Here is a 21,671-nt window from a genome sequence, read left to right on the forward strand (position 1 = left end):
ATCTTCATTAAGATTAACAGTAGGCTTATCATCAGAAACCATGGAGCTCAGAAAGCAGTGGAATGACGTAAGTGCTGCGAATAAAAGCCAAAAAAGAATCCTGAATCTGGCAAAAGTATCCTTAAAAAATGAAGGAGAAATAAATATGTTCCTAGAACAACAAAACGGAAGGAGTTCATAACTACAAGGAATACTAAAGGAAGTCCTTCAGCCTGAAAAGAGGCTAGGAGAGAGTAGCTCAAAGCCATATGAAGAACTAAAGAATATCAGTAAAGGTAACTACATAGGTGAAATTAAAAGTAAGTAGTTTTCTATTTTTGGATTTGTAACTCCTCTTTTTTAAGGAAAAAGGATTTAAAAAATAAATGCATAAAAGAATAATTATAAATCTATGTTAATGAGCACATAATATGTAAAGATGTAATTTTAGACAGTGCTACCCTAATAGTTGGAGAATTCAACACCTTGCATTCCATAAAGGCCCAGATAGAAGATCAACAAAAAAGTTGAAGACTTGAACAACACATAAACCAACTAGATCTAACAGACATTTATAGGACATCACTCCCTCCCAAGAACAGCAAAGTGTATGATATGGTTTGGCTGTGTGTCCCCACCCATACCTCATCTTGAATTGTACTTCTTATAGTTCCCACATGTTTTGGGAGGGACCTGGTGGGAGATAACTGAATCATGGGGGCAGTTTTCCCCATACTGTTCTTGTGGTAGTAAGTCTCATGAGATCTGATGGTTTTATAAGGGGTTTCTGCTTTCGCTTCTCTCTCGTTATCTCTTTGCCTGCCACCATCCATGTGAGATGAGACTTGCTCCTCCTTGCCTTCTGCCATGATTATGAGGCCTCCCCAGCCATGTGGAACTGTAAGTCCAATTAAACCTCTTTCTTTTGTAAATTCCCCAGTCACAGATATGTCTTTATCAGCAGCGGGAAAATGGACTAATACAGTAAATTGGCACCAGTACAGTGGGATGCTGCTGAAAAGATACCTGAAAATGTGGAAGCGACTTTGGAACTGGGTAACAGGCAGAGGTTGGAATAGTTTGGAGGGCTCAGAAGAAGACATGAAAATGTGGGAAAGTTTGGAACTTCCTAGAGACTTGTTGAATGGCTTTGACCAAACGCCTGATAGTGATGTGGACATAAGGTCCAGGCTGAGGTGGTCTCAGATGGAGATGAGGAACTTGTTGGGAACTGGAGTAAAGGTGACTTTTGTTATGTTTTAACAAAGAGACTGGTGGCATTTTGACCCTGCCCTAGAGATTTGTGGAACTTTGAACTTGAGAGAGATGATTTAGGGTATCTGGCAGGAGAAATTTCTAAGCAGCAAAGCATTCAAGAGGTGACTTGGGTGCTGTTAAAAGCATTCAGTTTTATAAGGGAAGCAGAGCATAAAAGTTTGGAAAATTTGTAGCCTGACAATGCAATGGAAAATAAAATCCCGTTTTCTGAGGAGAAATTCAAACCGGCTGCAGAAATTTGCATAAGTAACAAGGAGCAGAATGTTAATCCCCAAGACAATGGGGAAAATGTATCCAGGGCATGTCAGAGGCCTTCATGGCAGCCCTTCCCATCACAGGCCCAAGGCCTTGGAGAAAATGGTTTTATGGGCTGGGCCCAGGGTCCCCGTGCTGTGTGCAGTATAGGGACTTGGTGCCCTGCATCCCAGCCACTCCTTCCAGAGCCATGGCTAAAAGGGGTCAAGGTACAGCTCAGGCTGTGGCTTCAGAGGGTGGAAGCCCCAAGCCTTGGCAGCTTCCACATGGTATTGAGCCTGCGGGTACACAGATGTCAAGCATTGAGGTTTGGGAACCTCTGCCTAGATTTCAGAGGATGTATGGAAACGCTTGGATGCCCAGGCAAAAGTTTTCTGCAGGGGTGGGGGTGCTCATGGAGAACCTCTGCCAAGGCAGTGTGGAAGGGAAATGTAGGGTGGGAGCCCCCACAGACACTCCCTACTGGGGCACTGCCTAGTGGAGCTGTGAGAAGAGAGCTACCGTCTTCCAGACCCCAGAATAGTAGATCCACTGACAGCTTGCACCATGTGCCTGAAAAAGCCACAGACACTCAATGCCAGCCCATGAAAGCAGCCAGGAGGAAGGCTGTACCCTGAAAAGCCACAGGGGTGGAGCTGCCCAAGACTATGGGAACCTACCTCTTGCATCAGCGTGACCTAGACGTGAGACATGGAGTCAAAGGAGATAATTTTGGACCTTTAAAATTTGACTTCCCCACTGGATTTTGGACTTGCATGGGGCCTGCAGCCCCTTAGTTTTGGCCAATTTCTTCCATTTGGAACGGCTGTATTTACCCAATGCTTGTACTCCCATTGTATGTAGGAAGTAACTAACTTGCTTTTGATTTTACAGGCTCATAGGTGGAAGGGACTTGCTTGTCGCAGATGAGACTTTTATTTTTTTTAAGACAGTGTCTCACTCTGTCACCCAGGCTGGAGTGCAGTGGCATGATCTCAGCTCACTGCTGCAACCGCCACCTCCTGGTCTCAAGTGATTCTCCTGCCTCAGCTTCCTGAGTAGCTAGGAATATAGGCACCCACCACCACACCTGGCTAATTTGTGTATTTTTAGTAGAGATGGGGTTTCACCATGTTGTTCAGGCTGGTCTTGAATTCCGGACCTCAGGTGATGCCCCCACCTTGGCCTTCCAAAGTTCTGGGATTACAGGTGTGAGCCACTGCACCCAGCCTCAGATGAGACTTTGGACTATGGACTTTTGAGTTAATGCTAAAGTGAGTTAAGACTTTGGGAGACTGTTGGGAAGGCATTACTGGTTTTGAAATATGAGGACATGAGATTTGGCAGGGGCCAGGGACATAATGATATGGTTTGGCTATGTCCCTACCTAAATCTCATCTTGAGTTGTACTCCCATAATTCTCACACGTTGTGGGAGGGACGTGGTGTGAGATAATTGAATCATGGGGGTGGTCTTCCCCATACTGTTCTTGTGGCAGTGAGTAAGTCTCATGAGATCTGATGGTTTTTTTGTTTTGATTTTTTTTTTTTGAGACAGAGTTTCGCTCTTGTTGCCCAGGCTGGAGTGCAATGGTACAATCTTGGCTCACTGCAACCTCTGCCTCCCAGGTTCAAGTGATTCTCTTGCCTCAGCTTCCTGAATAGCTGGGATTACAGGCATGCGCCACCATGCCCGGCTAATTTTGTATTTTTAGTAGAGACAGGGTTTCTCCATGTTGGTCAGGCTGGTCTCAAACTCCTGACCTCAGGTGATCCTCCCACCTCAGCCTCCCAAAGTGCTGGGATTATAGGCATGAGCCATTGTGCCTGACCCCAAGATCTGATGGTTTTATAAAGGGTTTCCACTTTTGCTTCTGTCTCATTCTTTCTTTGCCTGCCGCCATCCATGTAAGATGTGACTTGCTCCTCCTTGCCTTCTGCTGGGATTGTGAGGCCTCTGCAGCCATGTGGAACTGTAAGTCCAATTAAACCTCTTTCTTTTGTATATTGCCCAGTCATGGGTATATCTTTATCAGCAGCATGAAAAAGGACTAATACAGTGTATGTTTTTCTCAAGTGCATATGGAACATTTACCAGGATAGACTATACGTTAGGCTACAAAACAAGTCTCAATAAGTTGTTTTTCGTTTCTTTGTTTTTTTTCTTGTTTTTCTTGAGACAGGGTCTCACTGTGTCACTCAGGCTGGAGTGCAGTGGCATGCTTATGGCCTACTGCAGCCTCAAACTCTCAGGCTCAAGTGATACGCCCCCCCACTTCAGCTTCCCCAGTAACTGGGACCACAGGTGTACACCACCATGCCCACCTAGTTTTTGTATTTTTTTAGAGACGAAAAATCCAAAAATATTTTGTAGGATTTTAGTCTTTTAAAACTTATTGAACAGGGTGCAGTGGCTCATGCCTGTAATCCCAACACTTTAGGAGGCTGAGGTGGGAGGACTGTTTGAGCCCAGGAGTTCGAGATCAGCCTGGGTAATGTGGTGAAACCCTGTCTCTACTAAAAATACAAAAATTAGCTGGGCATGGTGGTGCCTGCCTGTAATCCTTGCTACTTAGGAGGCTGAGGCAGGAGGATCTCTTGAGCCTGGGAGACGGAGGTTGCAGTGAGCCAAGCTTGCACCACTGCACTCCAGCCTGGATGACAGAGTGGGACTCTGTCTCAAAAAAAAAAAAAAAAAAAAAGAAAAGGAAAGATCTCAAATCAATAATCAAACTTTCCACCTTAAGGAACTTGAAAAATAAGGGCAAAGTAAACCCAAAGCTAGCAGGAGAAAGGAAATAATTAGGATTTTAGACGAGATAATTGATTTTTTTTAAAAAATAAGCCTGTCCAACATGGTGAGATCCTGTCTCTACAAAAAAATAGAGAAATAGCTGGGTGTGGTGGCATGCACCTGAAGTCCATCCCTTGGGCGGCTGAGATGGGAGGATTGCTTGAACGTAGGAGTTCAAGGATGCAGTGAGCTGTATGATTGTGTCACTGCATTCTAACCTGGGTGACAGAGCAAGACCCTGTCTCTCTTAAAAAAAAAAAAAAAAAGGAATAGAGAATAGAAAACAATAGAGAGAATCTACAAAACCAATAGTTGGTTCTTCCAAAAGATCAACAACATCAACAAACCTTTAGCTAGACTGGTAAGAAAAAAAGAAGAAAATTACTAAAAGAGAAGTGAAAGTGTGGTTATTACTACCAAACTTAACAGAAATAAAAAGGATTATGAGAGAATACTATGAACAATTATATGTTAACAAATTCAATGAGCTAGAAGAAATGGACAGATTCTTAGAAAATTGACTGGTATGTGATGAAAAAATGAGAGTTGATTGGGAAGAGTCCGGATAAACTACCAAAAGCATGTAATTGAATCAAAAATAGATTGGCAAAGACTTACAGTGTCGGAAACAACTAGGATTGATCCAAATTCTTCTAAATTCTCTAATCTGGAATCTACAGCTCTTGCACACTACAACCCTCAATTCTCATTCAATTGTTCTACAAAAATTTAAACCTCATACCAAATGTTTGAGTGGAGTTTTTTCTTGTAAGAGCTGCATAAGCTCCAAACACACGAACCTTCTCTTGTAACTAAATTCTTGACCTCTGCACAAAATACAATAAATGCCATCTGTGGCACTAAAGAGTAAGCAAAAGCAGGAGGGTAGATAACATTTGAAACAAGGGAACAGCACTAGGTCAGTTTCCCCTGTTTTTGCAGATTCCAGCATGAGAGTAGGCTCCAGTCTGCATCATGAGAAGTGGCTGGAAATCTGGTAGATCACCGCTTTTCTGGTCTAAAAAACTAGAGGACAGAATTTGAGACGATCAGCTGCTGGAAAGTAAGGGGGAATACCATAAGTAAAAAAGAGGGTAGAACCCCAAATTTTATGCATAAACTCTACCCAATCTTTCACTGACCACTAAATCATGCATGTAGAATAAATTCTAAGTAGTCCAGTTAAAAATTAAAGACCCAAACTGCTTTTTGAGTTGCCACCCATGAGACAGAGTTTGCAGTTTGAGTCCAAATAAGTGAAGTGACTCCTAAAACAAAGAAAATCAATGTTTTTTTGAGGGAACATAAAATAATCCACAGTTTCTACAAAATACCATACTTAAAAAATGACATTAAAGGATCAGTCATATTCTAAGCTCTTAATAAAAGAGGAAATGCTGGGATTGTATTATGTTTTATTTTATGCATGGCTAGAGACAGTTGACTATATAGTACACATGCATCATATGCATCATGTGGCAGTTAATCATAATATTTAATATGAATATTAACTCATTTGAATCCTCTGCTTTCATTTTTCTGTGTCATTTTTAGTAGCAATAAAAATTTACTTGAAGATTTTTTTTAAATCATAATGTCTAGGATACAATACAAAGTGACTCAACGTATGAGAAAAAAACAGGAAAACACACCCCATTTTCTTTTCTTTTTTTTTTTGTTTGAGACACATTTTCACTCTTTGTTGCCCAGGCTAGAGTGCAGTGGCGCCATCTCACTCACTGCAACCACCACCTCCCGCGTTCAAGCGATTCTGCTGTCTCAGCCTCCCGAGGAGCTGTGATTACAGTCGCCTGCCACCATGCCCAGCTAATTTTTGTAGTTTTAGTACAGACAGGGTTTCACCATGTTGGCCAGGCTGGTCTCGAACTCCTGACCTTAGATGATCCACCCGCCTCCGCCTCCCGAAGTGCTGGGATTACAGGTGTGAGCCACCACGCCCAGCCAAACACACCCCATTTTCAAGAGGAAAGACAACTAACAGAGAGACCAGTTCTAAGATGCCCAGATGTTTGAATTAGTAGACAGAGATTTTAAAGTAGCTATTAAACTAAGTCAAGGATGTGAAGGGAAATAAGATCACAATGATGAAAAAGTAGGAAATATTAGCAGAGAACTAAAAACCAGACATATATAAAGTACAAAACATCCCTGAAAATTTTAATATCTGAAATTAAAAATTCACCTTTTTACTGCATAGGCTTAACAGCAGAATGGAAGTGCCAGAAAAGAGTCAGTAAACTTGCAGATAAATCAACAGAAATTGTATAATCTGAACAACAGAGAAGTAAATGTTTGAAAAAAATAGCCTCAGGGACCCTTTTGATATGGGACAATATCAAAAGTTCTAACATAAATGAAATTATTTTCCTAGAAAATGAGGAGAGAGAGAATATTTGAAGAAATAAAAGGTGGGAAATTCCCCTAATGTTGTGAAAAATAAAACATCAGATTCAAGAAGGTTAATGAAACACAATAAGATTAATTTGGGGGACAGCTGGGGCCTGTGGCTCGTGCATGTAATCCCAGCACTTTGGGAGGCTGAGGTGGGTGGATCAGCTGAGGTCAGGAGTTCGAAACCAACCTGGCCAACATGGTGAAACCCTATACAACCTAATACAAAAAATTAGCTGGGCATGATGGCACATGTCTGTAATCCCAGCTACTCAGGAGGCTGAGACAGGAGAATCACCTGAACCCAGGAGGCAGTGGTTGCAGTGAGCCAAGATTGCACCACTGCACTACATCCTGGGTGACAGAGTGAGACTCTGTCTCAAAAAAATAAATAAATAAAAATAAAATCTGGAAAATTCCCCTAATGTTGTGAAAAATAAAACTTCAGATTCAAGAAGATTAATGAAACACAGTAAGTTTAATTGGGGGGACAGTGGGGCCCTGTGGTTCACACCTGTAATCCCAGCACTTTGGGAGGCCGAGGTGGGTGGATTACTTGAGGCCAGAGGCTCGAGACCAGGCTGGCCAACATGGTGAAACCCCATCTCTACTAAAAATACAAAAATTAACCAGGCCTGGTGGTGCACACCTGTGGTCCCAGCTACTTGGGAGGCTGAGGCAGGAGAATTGCTTGAACCCGGGAGGCAGAGGTTGCAGTGAGCCAAGATTGCACCACTGCATTCCAGCCTGAGCGACAGAGCAAGACTCTTCCTCAAAAAATAAAATAAAATAAAAAAGATTAACAAAGGGAAAAATTTGAGTGCCACACTTTTTCTCCACTCATTTCCTTCCTCTAACAAAATCTACCTGTTTAATGGTACTTTTTGTCTAACTAAGCAGGCATAGAGTTTTTTTTTTACAATATTTGTTTATTTAGCAATATAGGTTGTAAAAATACAAAGGTATAAAATATAAGTTGTAAAAAACTTTATGCCTGCTTGTTAAGAGAAAAATTCATATTTATTTAGCAATAAATATAAGTTATAAAAAACTCTGTGTGTTGTAAAAAACTCCGTGCCTGCTTAGTTGGACAAAACTCAGTCCCCAAGTCTGCCCCCCACCTCACCACACCAGTTTGAGTTGATTTAGACACCCTAATCTACTAGAAGTGAATAGGAATGACATGGTCTCTTCCAAGAAGGAACTTATATTCAAGTCAAGGAGAAAAACAATAATAATAACAATTAAAAGTAAACATTTTATTTAATAAATAGATGTTATGGTAAGTTCTGTTACATAAATAAACTGGGTGCCATTGTACAGTATAATGCTTTGAGGGTACTACTTTAAATCAAAAAGTCAGAAAAGGATACTGGAGTAGTTTAGATGAGAGATGATAACCACCAAACTACATTAGTGACAGTGGAGAACAGATAAATGAGCATTCAACGTATAAGATATTAGGATATTCAAGATATCCGAGGTAGAATTGACAGATTTTACTACCTGAATGTGGGGAGTGGTGGATATTGAGGAGTAAAGAATAGGATTCCCAGGTTTGGGAGTTGCACAAGTCTGTGAATGGTAGTGTCCTTCATTGAGATTGAGAATAAAGAGGGAAAACAGATTGGGAGGAGAGGTTGAGAGGATGAATTCAGCACTGGAAACGCTGAGTGAAGAGTAGCTGTAAAACATCTGACTGTAGGTATCTAGTGGGCTGCTGGGTGGCCAGATGTGGAACTCTACATTTGAGAGTTATCAACATGCAAGGGGTCATTGTAGCTTTCTTTAGGGAACGGAGATAGCTACTCTTATTTGCCCAGTAAAAATTTCCCTTTCTTCTGATAGTAGACCCTGCTCCCTTGGTCTTACCCAGGCCTCGTCATTCTACGTCATCCTCCCATATGGGGAACATGACTCAAAAGGCAAATCAGAGTCTTTCCCTAGAATTGGTGTCTAGACAGGAAGAGAAAGAAACTCTCTTCCTGGAGTTGCTTATTTGTTCACCAGATGGCTAAACTAGATGAATTTGATTCTGGGGCTGACGGTAGTCATCATTTTCCCTGCAGCATAAAGAGAGCCTGTCTTTAGAACAAAGACATCTCTGCTTGATGCATGGAGTTAGAGTGCCTAGACTAGTGGCACTAAGTCTAGGACTGATGTCTGGGTTCCTACAACTCTGATCTTCATTCTGTATTCTTCTCAGATAAATCTCCTTCACTGTTTTGTTTGTTTGTTTTGTTTTGTTATTTTTAAAGTGAGTTGAATAAGGTTTGTTACTGTTTGGGAGAAACTCTCAATGCATGTTTTTCCTCTGCTCTCATACTACCATGACAACAGTCATCAACACAGAAAAAGTCTTCTGTGACCAAGCGTGTTTCTTGGGTTTCTCCCCACCACCAAGCAAGCAATGAATTTTGCAGCGGACACCAACTGGGAGTCCTCCAATCAATTCTGATACTGGAGATAGCAACAGATTCCACAGGTTGAGGACTCAGTGCCCAAGATTGCCGCCAACCTCACAACACCAGTTGCAAGTCCAGGCCTCTGGAACTTCTGGTGGACAAGCTTCAAGTTGGGGTTCCCATGACCCCCTCTCTGGGTTCAGTTAATTTGCTGGAGTGGCTCACAGAACTCAAAGAAACACTTAATTATATGTACTGTTTTGTCATGAAGGATATTACGAAGGATATGAATGAAGACATGTATAGGGCGAGGTATGGGGGAAGGGGCATGAAGCTTCATGCACCCCCTTGGGTGCACCACCCTCCAGGAACCTCTACATGTGCAGGTATCCAGGAGCTCTCTGATCCCTGTCATTTTGGGTTTTTATGGAGGCTTCATTGCATAGGCATGATTGACAACTGTGTAGAAATGTGATTGGACAAAAAAAATTTGATTTAAACCCGGCAAGGCTTGTCTTTTCAGATTTTTCTTAGCCTCTCTGTATTGTATTCCTTCCTCTAAGGTGTGGGGCAGGGTGCTTTCTGGAATAAGGGTGTGTTGACCCACAATCAGATTACAGTCTTGGCTTGGGCAGGTAAAAGGAGGACAGGAGAAAGAAGGAGAGAGAGTCTATTTCCTAAGGCCTTAAGTGCCCCAACATTGTAACAAGGACTATGGGAGATAGGGGTCAGGAACCATGGACAAAAAACCAGTATATATCATAACATCATAGCCACTAAAACTTTGTTTTTGTTTGTTTGAGACAGGGTCTCACTCTATCGCCCAGGCTGGAGTGCAGTGGCACGATCACAGCTCACTGCAGCCTCTACCTCCCAGGCTCAAGAGATCCTCCCTACTCAGCTTCCTGAGTAGCTGGGACTACAGACGTGCACCACCACAGCTGCCTGATTTTTAAATTTTTTGTGGAGACGAGGTCTCCCTATGTTGCTTAGGCTGGTCTCCAACTCCTAGCCTCAAGTGACCCTCTCATCTCAGCCTACAAAAGTGCTGGGATTACTGGCACGTGCCATTGTAGCCAGAGGCCCTAAAACATTTTTGATTAATACACTCGTGCACTGTGAGAGAAGATAAAATCACTCAAGACAAAGAAAGTATGGGGCCAGGAATTGACAACAAATTCCAAGCAACCCCAACATTTAAGGACTAGGTAGAGACTCCCTGTATCTATCACTTATAGATGTTGCCTTATCTGTGTTATCACAGATATCACTCATCTGTGTTGCCCAGGCTGGCCTCAAACTCCTGAGCTCGAGGATCCTCCTGCCTTCGGCTCCTAAGTAACTGAGACTAGAGGTGTGTACCACTGTGCCTGGCAACTCAGTATGTATTTCTAAAAGATAAAGACTCTTTTAAGGCCGGGTGCAGTGGCTCATGCCTATAATCCCAGCACTTTGGGAGGCTGAGGCAGATAGATCCCTTGAGTCCAGGAGTTCAAGAAGAGTCAGGGCAACATGGGGAAACCCTGTTTCTACAAAAAAATACAAAAACTAGCTGGGCATGATGGTGTACACCTGTAGTCCCAGCTACTTGAGAGGATGAGATGGGAGGATCACCTGAGCCCAGGGAGTTTGGGGCTGCAGTGAGATTGCACTACTGCATTCCAGCCTGGGTGACAGAGTGAGACCCTGTCTCAAAACAACATCAAAAGACTCATCTAAAAATTATAACCACAATATAATTATCATATCTAAAACATTAATATTTACTTAGTATCATTTAGTATCATGAGTTTACAAATTCTTGAATTGTATTGTAATTTAATTCAGTTGGTTTGAGTCAGGATCCAAACAAGATCCACACATTGCAATTAGTTATGTTTCTTACATCCCCTTTAGTCTCTAAGTTAACCACCTCTTTTTTCCTTTTTTAAAGAAACGGAAGTATTTTTTTCCAGTAAAATTTCTTGTAGTCTAGATTTTGCTGATTATATCCCTGCAATGTTATTTAACATTCTCTATTCCCTCTAATTGCTGTAGGCTGGTAGTTAAGTCTGGAGAGTTGAACAATTGATCATATTCACACTTGATTTTTTAAAATCAAGCCTTTATAGATAGTGTTTTGTACTTCTATTGTAACACTTTGGGAAGCACATGATTTCTGGAGGTCTTTCTTTTGTGAGATTAAGGCTGTTCAGTGGGCTCAAATATTGTCTACGACAAAGTTCCTCATCTGCTTTTCACCTAATCGTTTCAGCAGCCGTTGATGATCATCCACTTGATCAGAAGTTCATGACACCTTTAGTGTCTGAATAATTTTTTCTCAGTTCCCATAGGTCAATAGAAGTACCTAACATTTCTGTTTATTAAGTAGTTAGGGTCAAACAAATTAATATTAGGTTGGTGCAAAAGTAATTATGGTTTTTGCTACTACTTTTAACATATGTATTTATGTCCTAATAACTTAGTAGCGACTTTAAAATATACACATAATTTGAAAGAGTAATACTTTAATTTCATTCTTAAATAACCACATTCGCTTACTAATGGGATGTCTATACCTCTTGGGCACCTCATAATTTCTGAAACCTTGAAATCAGGTGGGACACCACTACCCTCATTTCCTGTTCTTAACTGGATTCTGCACAACACTTTCTTGAGACCATAGCAACCACTGAAAACCTGACTGCAAAGATAGGTTAGTCAAAAGAATGTAATTTGCTCTAACGTTGAAAGTTTGAATTACCTCAGGCTGGTAGTTCACATGGCTTCTGACAGATGTCATCGTTGTTTCCCCCAAAATTTAAAATACCTACTGTGATGTCCCTGTGAGTTTGTTATAGTGCCCTCACGGTTTGGGCACTGGAGGTCATTGGCCATTATTCTCCCAGACTAGAGCAAGGATTGGCAAACTTTTTCTGTAAACAGCCCAGTAGTAAATATTTAGGCCTAGTAGCCACGCGGTCTCTGTCATAACTACTCAATTCTGCCTTTATGGTGTGAATGCAACCAGTATAGACAATATGTAAACAAATGGAGTGACTGTTGCCGTGCTTTGAATGTGTGTTACCTCCAAAATTCATGGTGAAACTTAATCACCATCATTGCAATAAGTGGGGCCTTTTTAGGAAGTGATGCTTATGAGAGCCATGCCCTCGTGAATGTAGGGCGTTTATAAAAGGGCTTGAGAGAGTACGTTTGCTCTCTTTACTCTTCTGCCATGTGAGGACACAGTGTTCTTCCCCTCCAGAGAATGCAGCAACAAGGTGCCATCTTGGAACTGGAAACTGAGCCCTCACCAGACACTGATCCTGCTGGTGCCTTGATCTTGGACTCCAAGCCTCTAGAACTGTGAGAAATAAGTTTATGTTCTTTATAAATTACCCAGTTGCAGGTATTTTTGTTATAACAAGCACAAACGGGCCAACACAACTGTATTCCAGTTTATTTACAGACACAGGTGTTGGGCTAGGTTTGTCCTGAGGACCTTGGTTTCCTGACCCCTGGCCTACAAAATAGAGAGGAATTTTTCATTTATTAGCTGGAGTTCTTCTAAGGAGAAGAATTTTCCCTCAACAGTTTGGTTACCCCAAGATAAAGTGTGCTTAAGAAATGTAGTATAAACATTTGCTTCTTTCTTTTTTTTGGTGGGGGGGGAACGGAGTCTCACTCTGTTGGCCAGGCTGGAGTGCAGTGGCACGATCTTAGCTCACTGCAACCACCACCTCCTGGGTTCAAGCGATTCTTCTGCCTTAGCTTCCTGAGTAGCTGGGACTATAGGCGCATGCCACCACGCCCAGCTAATTTTTGTATTTTTAGTAGAGACAGGGTTTCACCGTATTGGCCAGGCTGGTCTCGAACTCCTGACCTCGTGATCCACCCACCTAGGCCTGCCAAAGTGCTGGGATTACAGGCGTGAGCGACTGCACCTGGTTGCTTCTTTCTTTTTACTAGTTTTCAAAATTGGTTGATTCCCTAGCATCCAGCAAAGGGGGCCAATAAAGTTTTTGGGTTTTGACTTTTTTTGCATCGTTAATGATGAAGTCATAAAATTTAAAAATATATTTGATATGTTTCAGTCATTTGAAGATATTTTCTTTAATTTGAAAAAACTTCAAACTTGTAAAATATTGCAAAGATAGCACAAAGAATTCCCATATACTTTTACCCAGAGTTACCAATTGTTAACATTTTGCCATATTTGTTTTTTTATTCTCTCCCTCCTTCCCCGCTCCTGGCTTTCTCTCTCTCTCTCTCTCTCTCTCTCTCTCATATAGTTTTTCCTAAACCACTTGAGATTAAGTTGCAGACAATATGCCTCTGCCCTTAAATTCTTCAGTGTATATTTCCTAAAAACAAGGATGTTCACAGTACGGTTATTACAATTAGATCATTTTTTATTGACACAGTGCTCTTATTTAATCTATAAACCTTACTCAAATTTCACCAATTGTTCCAATAGTGTCCTTTATAGCATTCTTTTTTTCTCATCCAGCATCCAACCTAGGATTAATCATGCATTTAGTCTTCATGTCTCTTTAGGTTCCTTTAATCTGAATTAATTCCTTAGCCTTTCTTTGTCTTTCATGACATTGACATTTTTGAAGAGTATAGGCTATTTAGTAGAATGTCCCTTAATTCGAATCTATCCCAAGTTTCCTCATGATGAGGTTCAAGTTAAACATTTCTGGCAGAAATAGCACATGAGTATTGTAGTGTCTTTCTTACTGCATTACATCTGGAGGCACATGATGCATATTGATCGTCACTGATAGCTAGTCTCCAAGTTCTTCAGTGAACTATGTCCCCAGTTTTCATGGCCTTATGTTGTTCCCTCTCCTCGAATCTGGACTGGCCCAGTGACTTTCTTTTAACTAATAGAATGTGGCAGATGTGATTGTTTCTTCTTCTACTAGATCTGAAGAAGCCTTGCAGACAAGTGGCCTTGTCTCTTGGAATTTTGTCCTTGCAATGTTTGCTTGGTTGGAATGCTCACTCTGGGGGTAAGCAACCAACATAATAAGTCTGACTGAGACCACCAACTGTGAGGAAGCCCAAGCTAGCCACTTGGAGAGAGAGAGAGACACCTGGCCAGCACCCAGCTGTTCCAGGTATCCCAGTCACCAGATAGCTGAAGAAAGAAGCCATCTTGAATGTTAAACAAATTGATATCAAACGTTAAGATGAATCAAGTCCCAGCCAACATCTGAAGGTAACTGCATGAGAGATCCCAACTGAGCCCCCTCAATCAACAGAACCATGAAAGATAATAATAAATTGTTTTAAGCCACCAAGTTTTGGAGTAGTTTGTTATTCAGCAATAGATCACCAGAACAGTACTGTAAACTTTGGTCACTTGGTTAAGATAGTGTCTTCCAGGTTTCTCCATTGTACAGTTATTTTTTCCTTATAATTGATAACTAATTCATGGGGAGACACTATAAGACCTTATTAATGTCCTTTTTTCATCAGACTTTCAGCTGCTAGTTTTAGTAAGCCAGAGTCAAATATTAGTATGATAGTTGCAAAATGGTAACCAAAAAACTCCTCTATTAGTTCTTCTACGTTTGTTAGCTAGCATTCTGCTGTAAGAAAGAGATTTGCTGGCTGGGAAATCTCTTTGTGCCCGGCCTAGCACACGTTCTTATCCTTTGCTGGTTCCTTCTTTTCTTTCCATTTTATTAATTTTGGTTTATCCTTCCATTAAAAATGAGCAAATATGTCTTTTTAGATATAAACTAGCATACTGGACACACTACTCTGGCTTTTTTCCAATAATACATCCTGGCAATCACTCCATAGCAGTGTATAGAGATAATCCTCTTTTCTTTTAATGGCTGCAGAGTATTCCATTGGTAGATGTTTTGGCCTGCTATTGAGCAAGTTTTCAGTTGTTTTCAGTCTTTAGCTTTTGGTTGTGCAGTGAATAACTTTGTGTAAAATCCTTTTGTATTTTTTGCCAGTGTATCTCTGAGATAACTTCCAGAAGGAAGGTTGCTGGATCAAAGGGTACATGCATGTGTAATTTTGCTAGATCTTGTCAAATTCCCTTCCCTCAGGGTTATGCCATGGTACATTCCCAAGAGCAATATATGAGTGCCTATTACTTTACAGCTTTCTAACAGAGTACATTATCAAACATTTGCCATTCTAATAGGTGAAAAATTGTTTCTCAGTGTAGTTTTCATTTGCATTGCTCTTAAAATGAAGTTGAGATTCTCTTCATTTATTTAAGGACTATTTGCTTTTCTTTTTCTGTGAAATTCTTTGTTTATATCTCTTACCCATTTTTCTTGAGATTTGTTAATCTTTTTCTTTTTTACTTTTAGAAGCTCTCTCCATATTACAGATCTTAATCTTTTTACTGGGTGTATGTTGAAAATATATTTCTCCAGCTTTTCATTTGTCTTTTGGCTTTCTTATAGTTATTTTTTGCTATGAAGTTTTATTTTTAACCTTTACTTAGTCACATTACATAAAATTATTCCTTCGGGATTTTAAATCATAGGTAGAAAAGTTTTTGCAAGTACAGAAGAATTCATCAGTGTTTTCTTCTAGTTTTTGCATAGTATTATTGTTTCCATATTTGAACTTGTTATTCTGTATAATGTGAGAAACAGGTCAGATTTTGTCTTTTTCCATATGGCTATCTAGTTACATATAGAGTATTTTCATAAAGAAGTGGTCAACAGTGTCACTGACTGCTAAGAGGTCCCCTAGGTTAAGAACTGAAAACTGCCAATAGGGTTAGTAACAAGGAGGTCAATGTGACCTTGCCAGTAGCAATTTCAATAAAGCAATGAGGCAGAAGTCAGATTGCAGTGGATTGAGGATTGAAAGGTGAGGAAGTAGAAGGAACAAGTGTAGATAACTCTTTGTGAGGTCCTAAATTGATAGTCTTTTTATTAGGCACTACATATAAGTTTCAGAATTCCAAAAGACAGATTTCAGGCAAAGAAGTTTTCCAATAAAACCCCTGTATCAGTCAGGGACCAATCAGGCAAATAGAAACCATTCTAAGTATTTAAAATAGAGGGAATTTAACCTTTGTGAGAATTGGAATGGTGCCTCATATGAGTCGATGCAGCTGTGCAGGTGCCTGGCTTGTTCGTTAGAGAGCAGGCAGAGAGGGTTCAGCTATTTCTTGCCTTTTGGTTTGGTGCCTTTGTGCAGGATACAACCTCCATATCTGTATCTGATGGCCCTGGTTATCCCCGTTTTACAGAGAAAGATTAAATAACTTGCCCAAGGTCATATGGCTAATAAATGAATAATCAGAGATTACCAATGTTGAATTCACAGCCAATTCCTGGTGACTTTCCTCCTATTTGAAAGCTATAATCCTTCAGTCTTGGGAGAGGTAGACAAAAAGAGATTCATTCCTGGCCAAGGTTCATGGACAGGGTCTGGTCACTGCTTCTCCTCCTAGGGTACTATGCTTTCCTAGTGACTCTTCACTAAATTCCATAGTTCACTGGTCAAACACTGTTCTGTGACAAAGGGCCAATAAGACCCCTTGGTCTAAGGAAGTATTGTCCAAGGTAACCTGACACAGTGTTTGACTTTTATCCTTCACTTACTTTAAGCTCTCATTAAACACACTTATAACAGAGTTTAGGTGCCACTGAATGTGTTAATGTCATCTAGGAAGGCTGGTTGATTGCAAACAGGACCTCTCAGGAACACTAGTTAAGCTCAAACAAGACTGATTTGTAAACCAGAATTTCAATGTATGAATTCATAATAAGGAGCAAGTAAGGCTTGTATGTCTTATTTATGCCACCTCCTTTCCCAGTATCCAATCACTTGGGAAATTGAGTGATTAGTCAAGAAGTTGCTAAGTAAGCATGGAATCAGAACAGGTGCTGATGAAATATCTTTACTCATAATAGAGAACACTTCTCTAGTGGCCAGCCCCCAGATTTAGAGTCTTTTAAATTTTCACCAGTGTTTCCCAAGCTTCAGTCATTTGAATACCACCTTTATGATTTTACCATTCCTGCATTTCAATACACACATACTTAGTTTTCTTCCTTTCCTTCCTTTCCTTCCCCTCCTTCTCTTCCCTCCCTTCCCTCCCTTTCTTCCTCCTTTCTTTCCTTTTCCTTCCTCCTTTCTTTCCTTTTCCTTCCTTCTTTTCTTTTCTTTCTTTCCTTCCTTCCTTCTCTTTCCTCCTTCCTTCCTTCCTTCCTTCCTTCCTTCCTTCCTTCCTTCCTTCCTTCCTTCCATCCTTCCTTCTCTCTCTCTCTCTCCCTTTCCCTCTTTCCTTCTCTTCTCTTCTTTTCTCTTCTCTTTTCTCTTCTCTTCTTTCCTTGGAGTCTTGCTCTCTCGCCCGGGCTAGAGTGCAGTGGCGCGATCTCTGCTCACTGCAAGCTCCGCCTCCCGGGTTCACGCCATTCTCCTGCCTCGAGTAGCTGGGACTACAGGCGCCCGCCACCACGCCCGGCTAATTTTTTTGTATTTTTACTTGAGACGGGGTTTCACCGTGTTAGCCAGGATGGTCTCGATATCCTGACCTCGTGATCCGCCCGCCTCGGCCTCCCAAAGTGCTGGGATTACAGGCGTGAGCCACCCCGCCCGGCCCTTAGTTTTCTTAATTGAATAAGTTTTTAAAACAAAACATTTACTTTAGCTTCTTTCTAAGCAATTATATTTCTGAAATCATATTTGGTGTGCTAGTTTTCTAACACATATTGAAATAAATATAAACATTAAAATAACTACCAAAATGAAAATGTCCATGAACTGCTTAAACTCAGTGGTGTATATACCACACCTTAGTAAATATTGCCCTAGCCATTACTGGAAAAATAAAATACGTAAGTTTCTCTGAATCCTAGTTGGTGTGTTGAACACCTCTGTTGAATTTCTTCCTCAGGTGTGTACTAGCGTCATGGTATCTTGTACCATCATTGTACCCACCCCCTCTATTTTGTGTTGATTTTACAGGGCTCCAACCTACAGTATTTTATTCTATTTTATTTTTTTGAGATGGGGTCTTGCTGTGTTGCCCAGGCTGGAGTGCAGTGGTGCAATCTTGGCTCACTGCAACCTATGCCTCCCGGGTTCAAGTGACTCTCGTGCCTCAGCTTCCCGAGTAGCTGGGATTACAGATGAGCATGCCCAGCTAATTTTTGTATTTTTACTAGAGGCAGGGTTTCATCATGTTGGCCAGGCTGGTCTTGAACTCCTGACCTCAAGTGATCCACCCACCTCAGCCTCCCAAAGTGCTGGGATTATAGGCGTAAGCCCCCATGCCCCGCCTTCAACCTACAGTATTTGAAAGATAAAATATGAAATTTTATCTTTAGTATTTGTGATTTTGTGCATAGTAAGAGATTCTCAAATATTTGTGTACCTAATATTCTTGAATATTTTCTAACTATTCTCAAATATTTATAGTACCTAAGAATGAACATATACTCTACCATTTGAGGTGATTAATTTTGGCCTACTGGTGGATTAAAAGAATTTTTAACAGTGTCGACATGACGCTAGACACAATCCACATCAATAAAAAATCATTATTTGAATAAGACGAAGATAATGCTGAAAATATAAAAAGACTAAAATATCAGTTCTCTCTATTTGTATTAACTTTGAGAATTCAGTGTTTCAAAAGTGTGAAGGGTCTTAACTACAAACTTTGATTTAAAACTGAGACTTCTTTGAGGAAATTGTTTTGCTTTAATCCGTCCTTCTAAAAATGGGATTTAGAGAATTTGGAGGAAACTGTATACAATAAAGTTTTTTTTTTCACCTAAGCTTTCTAGTTAATCATTTGACACAGCAGTCTGAAGATTTTAAATTCCAGTTGCCACTGCCATTCTTTCCACTAGAATGTTGCTTGAGATATGGGCCAATTTTACTTAGCACCTAGCCTGGTACCTGGTGTATAGTAGGTGCTCATTTAAGGCTTATTTTACAACTAAGCGAATTCCTACCTTTTCTCTATGTTACAGAATATCACTAACACCAAGTTAAGATCTATAAGAGGGAATCAGAAAATAGAATATTAGTTTCACTTTCTTGGAACACACATGAAGGAGCAAATCTTTACAAAACTGTCTTTTTTCACTATTCATGGTCAATATTTGAATTATATTATTTTTATGCACTGCTTATTTATCCTTTCCTCAATATTGAACTTCAGTTCTCATCAGAATTCGCTTTTTCTTAACCAAGGATTCCTCTCACACACTATACATGCAGACTTTTTCATTAAGTCATTTTATTGCAATACCTGAAAGCAACAAGAATCTGTACTCTCCAAGTGAGTGAATAGCAGAGAATGTTTGCTAAGTGATTTTAAAAAATGTCTTCATTTTAGAAAATTTGCCCAAGTTTTCCATACTTGAAAAAAAACCTAGTTGTCATTCTCTCTACATGATTTTATATCTTGCTTTTTCTGCTTAGTAAATATTTTCCCATAGAATTAAAAATTTTGCAGGAACAATCTCTAATTTGAATTGAATTAATTTAATTCAATTGAATTGAATTAAAATACCTCAGAGGAATACAAATTCAGAACCTTGAAGATTGGTTGCTGTCCTCCACCATGCCTTGAGGGTATGTGATGTGAAAATTTGGTTTAAAAATGGAAATTATTTAAAATGAATTATATCAAACTGTATTTTGGTTTGGCCTTTGTTAAATATAATCTTTTTTTTTTTTTTTTTGAGCCGAGTCTCGCGATCTCAGCTCACTGCAATCTCTGCCTCCTGGGTTTGAACAAGCTATTCTCCTGCCTCAGCCTCCGAAGTAGTTGGGACTATGGGTGCGTGCCACCACACCCGGCTAATTTTTTGTATTTTCAGTAGAGACGGGGTTTCACCGTGTTAGCCAGAATGGTCTTGATCTCTTGACCTCGTGATCCACCTGCCTCAGCCTCCCAAAGTGCTGGGATTACAGGCGTGAGCCTCTGTGCCCAGCCTAAATATAATCTTTTAAGGTTGGGTGTGGCAGCTTATGGCTGTAATCCCAGCACTTTGGGAGGCTGAGGCAGGAGGCTCACTTGAGGCCAGAAATTGGAGACCAGCCTGGGCAACACAGGGAGACTCTTGGGAGGCTGAGGCAGGAGGCTCACTTGAGGCCCGGAATTGGAGACCAGCCTGGGCAACACAGGGAGACTCTTTCTCTACAAAATTTTTTTTAAAAATTAGCTGGGCATGGTGGCTTGTGCCTGTAGTCCCAGCTATTCGGGAGGCTGAGGTGGCAGGATCACTTGAGCACAGGAGGTTGAGGCTGCAGTAAGCTATGATCATTAGTGCACTCCCCTCTGGGTGACAGAGTGAGACCTTGTCTCAAAAATAAATAAATAAATAAATAAAAAATATATTCATTTTGATCATCTTGAGAATAGTCTGACAAAGTTTATTGCTAACTAGATGAATCCTGAAATTCTTGGTGGTGATGGTTCTAGAGATAAAAAGTATGAAGCAAGCCTGAGCCTATTAAGTGCTTTATCCTTTATGTACCAGTATCAAACTGTGTTGCTATTTATGTTCCTGAATGAGATAGGAATTTCTTCAGATTCAGAGAAGGGAAAATGACAGAAACGACAACAAAAATGAGAACTACACTTTTTTTTTTTTTTTTTTTTTTTGAGGCGGAGTCTCGGTCTGAGGCCCAGGCTGGAGTGCAGTCGCGCGATCTCGGCTCACTGCAAGCTCCGTCTCCCGGGTTCACGCCATTCTCCTGCCTCAACCTCTGGAGTAGCTGGGACTACAGGCGCCCGCCACCACGCCCGGCTAATTTTTTGTATTTTTAGTAGAGACGGGGTTTCGCCGTGTTAGCCAGGATGGTTGCATCTCCTGACCTCGTGATCCGCCCGCTTCGGCCTCCCCAAGTGCTGGGATTACAGACAGACGTAAGCCACCGCGCCCGGCCTCTGAGAACTACACTTTTAAAACAGCCCATGGTCACGCGTTTTGAAGGGCTGGGGAAATACTGAGGGATTTTACCTGCTTTTGGGGTGGGGGGTGGGGGCAGAACAAGAAAATCTGATTGAAGACAGCATGAAGTATCAAAATAACCCTTGGCCACTTTGGCTAGTGCCCGTAGGAATATAAACAGGTGGGCCACAAATCCAAGCCTTGATGAATGACCTATGCCAGCACCAATTTCCTCCCTCCTTCTGGATCAGAGCCTGTTTCCTTCCAAAGTGGTGGACCCCCGAAATCTTACAGGCTTTTTTTTTTTTTTTTTTTTCCTCTGTCTCACTCTGTCGCCCAGGTAGAGATCAATGGCATGATCTCGGTTCATTGCAACCTCTGCCTCCCGGGTTCAAGCGGTTCTCTTGCCTCAGCCTCCTGAGTAGCTGGGACTACAGGCAGCCGCCACCATACCCGGCTAATTTTTTTAATTTTAGTAGAGACGGGGTTTCACCATGTTGGCTAGGCTGGTCTCGAACTCCTAGCCTCATGTGATCCGCCCGCCTCGGCCTCCCAAAGTGCTGGGATTACAGGCGTGAGTCACCATGCCCAGCCGAGTCTAACTTTCTTTACGATTTCCTGGGGTCCCAGCTGGACGGAGTCTCATCCCTGCCCCCCTTACTGGGAGGAAAAGGGAATG

This window comes from Homo sapiens, chromosome 5 (genome assembly GCF_000001405.40).
Source record: "Homo sapiens chromosome 5, GRCh38.p14 Primary Assembly".
Taxonomy (NCBI): Eukaryota; Metazoa; Chordata; class Mammalia; order Primates; family Hominidae; genus Homo; species Homo sapiens.